We start from the raw sequence: 6,000 nt of genomic DNA, 5'->3' as shown, positions 1-6,000 counted from the left end.
AATAGAATTGATCATTTTTTCCAATTCTGTTATGTCTTATATGCTTTATATCACTGTAGGTTTTATCTAATCCAGAAACTAGGGGATTATTTTAGATTCCTTCACACTTCATGTTTAATCAGCCAGTCAGGCTAAAACTTACCACTTTTCACTGCTTCTCTGAATCACTACAATAATTATCCATTTTTCCCTCCCACAATCTAGTTGCTTTAATCAAATTTATACTTTCTAATGCATTTTCCCATATTTCATACTTTTTTCAATGTAAATCCAAGCCTATAATTTTCCTGTTGAACTACTTGCCAATGGCCTCTTACTGTCTGCAAGATTTAGTTCAATACTTTAGTATTAACTCTTTGATGATTTGACTTCTTTATTATCTGGCCTCCCCCGATCTCTCCAGCTTTCATTCTTGACTTCCTCCTCCCTGTCATTAAATTTTAATATATTTATTTTAGCTGTGATCTCTCCCACATTTCTAATAACCTAAAGTCTTCTATTCAAAATGTCTTCCTACCTTTCTGTTTGGTAAACTACTAATCCCCTGCTCAGGGGTCTTTCATAAAGCTTTATTACTCTTATTTCACATCTGAAGGATTATTTCTTCTGTCTTATTTCTACTTTTTTATACTCTGTTTATATGTCATACATAGTCTTAACTTGGTAGCTGTTTGTTTCCTCCCCTAAAATAAGTCTCCTTGTCATCAGGTACCTTATTAATTGTTGATACTCCAGAGCTTAAGATATTATTCATTGGCATACAGTAGACAATCTGAAAAAAAATGAGATAAGTGCTGAAATTCTTAGAATCAAGTAACCTTAGTTTGCAGTGTTAGATAACAATTAGTGAAACATCTTTCTGAAGTAATATTCCATATTAGAAGAGAGGGTGAATTGAATTCAGAACCGATTTCTAGAAAATTCTCCTTATTGTGGACAGTCTGTCTGCTTTGAAAAGCAGTTGAACAGGTGATCCAAACAATGATAAGAAGAAAGAAGCAAGGGGAAAGAAAGATAAGAAAGATAGCAGATATGTTCAGGGCAGAAAGGAACTTTAAATAAGGAGAAGAGAAGTCAAAGAACAATGAAGGAAATATGAATTAGAGGCCTTTTGATTCATACTTTGATAGAAGCTAGTTAAAGTAGAAGAACTCAGACTGTAAAATGTGCTTTCTGCTTGTATGGACATAAGTATTTAAAGTTTTCCTGTGAATTATACGACATCATGGCCCAAGTCTTTATAGCCTTCACTCTAGAGATAATAATGAATCTTTTTTACAGTCTCTTACAAAAGCTTTATTATGGAGAGTTGACAGCTATTCAGCGTACCTAGATAACACATTCATCCTGTAATAATCTCATATTTAAATAGGGAAAAACTTTCCTTGCAGCCTAGAAAAATATAAGCAGAGACATTTTTGAATGAGGAGAAAAATTCACCTTGTTTGTATTTTATTTTGCACAAAATCTGTAGGCTTCGTAACTGCTTTGTTATACAGAGATATCATTAGGACCCACACCAGGCATCAGCAACAGCAAAATTCTCATATTTCTAGGGTTTTTAAGGAGTGCTCTCAGCTTCCTCAGTAACAGATGTAAGATCATTTTGTCTTCGAAACTGGAAAAAAAGTAACCTCTTACAAATCATATCATGTTTCTTAATATTATACAACTAATAAATAGATCTTTTTCTTAAAAAATACAGGTAATACTGATATTTATAGAGTGAAATCTTAAAGTATCCTATTTCTGTCCCATTCCTATTTCAACCTTATTTCTTTCTTCCTTTCTTTCTCTTTCTCTTTCTTTCTTTCTTCCCTTCCTCCCTTCCTCCCTTTCTTCTTTCTTTCTCTTTCTTTCTTTCCTTTTTCTTTCTTTCTTTCTCTTTTTCTTTCTCCTTCCTTCCTTCCTTTCTTTCTTTCCTTCCTCCCTTCCTCCCTTTCTTCCCTTTCTTCTTTCTTTCTCTCTCTCTCTTTTTCCTTCCTACATTCCTTCCTTCCTTGGGTTTTTTTTTTTTTTCAAGGTCTTGTTCTGTTTTCAAGGTCATGTCGCCCAGGCTGGAGTGCAGTGGTGCGATCTCGGCTCACTGCAACCACCTCTCTTTCAGGTTCAGACTCAAGAGATTCTCATGCCCCAGCCACCCGAGTAGTTAGGATTACAGGCCTGTGCCACCATGCCTGGCTAATTTTTTTGTATTTTTAGTAGAGACGGGGTTTCACCATGTTGACCAAGCTGATCTTGAACTCCTGGCCTCAAGTGATCCTCCTGCTTCAGACTCCCAAAGTGTTATGATTACAGGTGTGAGCCACCATGCCCAGCCTTCAACCTACTTTCTTAATTTCTGTTGGATCACTTGTATCTTTTGGTGTACCTTCAAACTTTTATAATAAAAATAACCATAGTCTTCTTGAACATAAATCTTAATAGATGCCAGCACCCTAGCCTCTCATGACATTTCTCAACCATTACCTATTCCTTCCCTTCAAGGTAATGGTCATTTTGACTTTTAGATAAGGTCAATTTTTTTTCTAGTTTCATGAACTAAGCTTCATCCCTAAACACTATAGGTTAGCTTTAGTTTTACCTGGTTTCAAACTTCATATGAATGGATTTTTTTACAAGTATGCATTCTTTTGAGTTTTTATACTCAACATTTTATTTGTAAGATCCATCCATGATGTTAAGTGCAGGTATAGTTGCTTTTAATCACCATGTCAAATTTGAATGAAGTAATACACCTCAACTTATTCATCACTCACCCACCTGTGTTGTTTCCACTTTGGGACTACTATGAATAATACTGCTCTCTATATATTCCTGGAAGTTTATCTTAATGCATAAGCGCAAACATTTCTGTTGGTTATATACCAAAGACTTAAATTACTGATCATAGGGTATGCACATTTTAATTTTTAGTAGGTAATGCCCAAAAGGTTTTAAAAATTGTTGCAATAACTTATATTTCAACTAGGAGTTTGAGAGATATTTCTTTTATCTACAATCTTTGCTATCAGTTGGCATTGTCAATAGTTTGAAATTCAGTCATTCCAGTAGGTACTTTAAAATATCTCTGTCATTTTAATGTTATTATTACAATGAATAGATTTATATCTGACATTTTATTATTTGTTTTATACACGTCTCATGTGTTTTCTTTTCCTTTCCTTTTTTTTTTTTTTTGTGAGATAGGGTTTTACTCTGTCACCCACACTGGGGTACGGTGGCCTGAATATGGCTCATTGCAGCCTTGACCTCCTGGGTTCCAAGTGATCCTCCCACCTCAGCTGCCTAAGTAGCTGGGACCACAGGCATGTGGCACTATGCATAGCTAGTGTTTTTATTTTTACTTTTTTGTAGAGATGAGGTCTCGTCATGTTGCCCAGGCTGGTCTTGAACTCCTGGGCTCATATGGTCTTCCCGAGTTGGCCTCCCAAAATGCTGGGAATATGGGTGTTAACCAACCAAGCCTGGCCATTGTGTTCTTTCTTTATTTTTTAAAAATTAAACATACTTTGTGTATGTTAATTCCCTTGTTTTTAAGCTATTATATTTTTAGCTTGCTTAATCACTAAATAAGCACCCTAATTTATCACAGTCTACTTCAGATGAATGCTAATTCAATTCCAGTAAAATACAGCAACTTTATTCCCATATAACTCATTCCCTTTCCTTTTCTTTGTGCTATTATTGTCATCTATTCTATCTATATATATTATGTAACTACCAATATGGTGTTATAATTACTGCTTTTATAATCTTATCTTTTAAAATTTAAGAGAAAAATTGAGAAACTGTCTATTGAAGAAGGGTTGGCAAGCTATGATACATGGACCAAATCTAGCCCACTCCCGTTTTTGCAAATAAAGTTTTGCTGGAACAAGCCATATCCATTCCTTTATGTATTGTCTATGAATACTTTCATGCTAAAAGGTGGAGCTGAGTAGTTATGACAGATGGAATTAATGTTACTAATAACACGACCTTAAATTAAGGTAATCATCCTGGATTACCTGGGTGAGCCCAATGCAATTAATGCTACTGTCTTTTAAATCAGTTAACAGAAGAAAACACAAAAGATGTATTTATACTGATTTTCATAACCACCTACATAATTACTTTTACTGGCACTTTTTTTATTTATTCATGTGCATTTGAGTTTCATCTGATGTCACTTCAGTCTAAAGAACTTCCTTTAGTGTTTCTCATGAGGAATTTCTGCTAGCAACACATTATTCATCTGTGTATGTCTGTATTTCACCTTCATTTTTGAGGGATAGTTTTAAAGGATAAAGAATTCCTGCCTGACTGTTTTTCCCCCTGCACTTTAATATCCCATTCCACTACCTTCAGGCCTCCATTGTTTTGGATGAGAACCCAGCTGTTTATATTATTGTGGTTCCCTTATATATGAAGAGTCTTGTTTTTATTTTTTTTTGCTGCTTTCAAGATTTTCTTTTTTATCAGTTTGACATGGAGGTGTCTAGGAGGATCTCTTTGTGTTTATTTTACTTGAAGATCCTTGAGCTTTTTGGATGTATTGAATGTTTTCCATGAAATTAGGGGAATTTGGGAGCCATTATTTCTTTAATTTTTTTTCTGGTACTCCCCATTTTTATGGGACTCCCATTATACATGTGATGGTATCTCAAAGGATTTTGAGGTTCTGTACAGTTTTCTTCATTTTCTTTTTTTCCTGTTCTTCGGACTGGGCAATATCTTTTTTGCTCTCTTTATGTCTGTTTATTTTGTTTTTTGTCAGCTCACCTCTGTTCTTGAGTTCCTCTAGTGGTTTTTCATTTCAGTTCTTGTATTTTTAAACTCTAGAACCTCCATTGGGTTTTTCATAATTTCTGTCTCTTTTATTGACTTTTATTTGATGAATCATTGTTGCCATCTTATAATTCTTCAAACATATTTACTTTACTAAATTTTTTTTTTTTTTTTTTTGAAACAACACTCATTTATTAACTCATAGTTCTGCAAGTCAGTATTCTGGGTAGCCTCAGCTGGTTTTCTGCTTAGGGTCTCCCAAGACTGAAATCAAGTTGTTGGCTGTCCTGGGCTATTATCTGGAGGGCCAGGAGAAGAATCCCCTTCTAAGATCATTCAGGTTGTTTGCAGAACTCAGTTCCTTGCAGTTGTAGAACTGATGGCTCCATTTCTTTGCTGGTTTTTGACAGGCAGCTGCTCTCAGCTCCTAGAGGCTTCTTTCTGGTCCTTGCATGTGGCCCCCTCCACCTTCAAGGCCAGCAATGGAGATGCATTCAACCCTTATCATGATTCAAATCTCTCTGACTTCCCTTTCTGCCATCAGCCAGATAAAACTTTCTCCTTTTAAAGAGCTTAGGGGCTTAGATTAGGCCTACCCAGATAATTTCCTTTTTGCTGTGTCATGTAACATAGTGATAGGAGTAACCCCAGGAAGTGAAAGTCATAGGGATTATCTTAAAATTCTGCCTCTCATAGGATAGATGGGACACCAGGCTGGCAACTTACCTTCAAATAATTCAGGGAAAAAAATTTCTGTACTGTCCCTGCAATTTTTTTTTTTATTTTTATTTCTTAAAATTTTATTTTTAATTGACATAATCATTGCAGATATATTTATGGGGTACAATGTGATGTTTTGATATGTTTACAGGGTGGAATGATTAAATCAGGCTAATTAACAAATTCATAACCTCATATACTTACTACTTTTCTTTGTGATGAAAACATTTAAAATCAACTCTTTTGGTAGTTTTGGAATATCCAGTGCATGATTAGTTATTATAGTCCCCAGTCTACGTAATTGATCCCTAAAGCTTACTCCTCCTGTCTAACGAAAACTGTATGGCCTTTGATCAACACCTTTTTGCCTCATCTATGCCCCATCGGCCCCCAGCCTCTGGTATTCATCATTCTACCTTCTGCTTCTATGAGTTCAACTTTGTTTTTTTTTTTCGTTTTTTTTTTTTTTATTATACTTTAAGTTTTAGGGTACATGTGCACATTGTGCAG

At 35.1% G+C, this 6,000-nt stretch overlaps 1 protein-coding gene across 5 annotated transcripts in view; it reads right to left on the bottom strand.

Moving 5' to 3' along the window:
* Nucleotides 1-712: 712 nt before the first annotated feature.
* The window catches only part of MS4A13 (membrane spanning 4-domains A13), a 28,033-nt gene continuing 22,745 nt past the window's right edge, over nt 713-6,000 (bottom strand). For 3 of the 5 annotated variants that reach the window (NM_001012417.3, NM_001100909.2, NM_001278320.2), the window contains one exon: nt 1,416-1,618. In NM_001012417.3, coding sequence (NP_001012417.2) covers nt 1,562-1,618 — 57 coding nt within the window. In that variant the 3' untranslated portion in view covers nt 1,416-1,561. Of the gene's footprint in view, nt 773-1,415; nt 1,619-6,000 lie in introns of those variants that run through there. The other 2 variants (XM_047427040.1, XM_047427041.1) reach the window with 1 other exon arrangement.

Source organism: Homo sapiens, chromosome 11, assembly GCF_000001405.40.
Source record: "Homo sapiens chromosome 11, GRCh38.p14 Primary Assembly".
In the NCBI taxonomy this organism is placed as follows: domain Eukaryota; kingdom Metazoa; phylum Chordata; class Mammalia; order Primates; family Hominidae; genus Homo; species Homo sapiens.
This window is presented reverse-complemented; position numbering and strand designations above follow the sequence as displayed.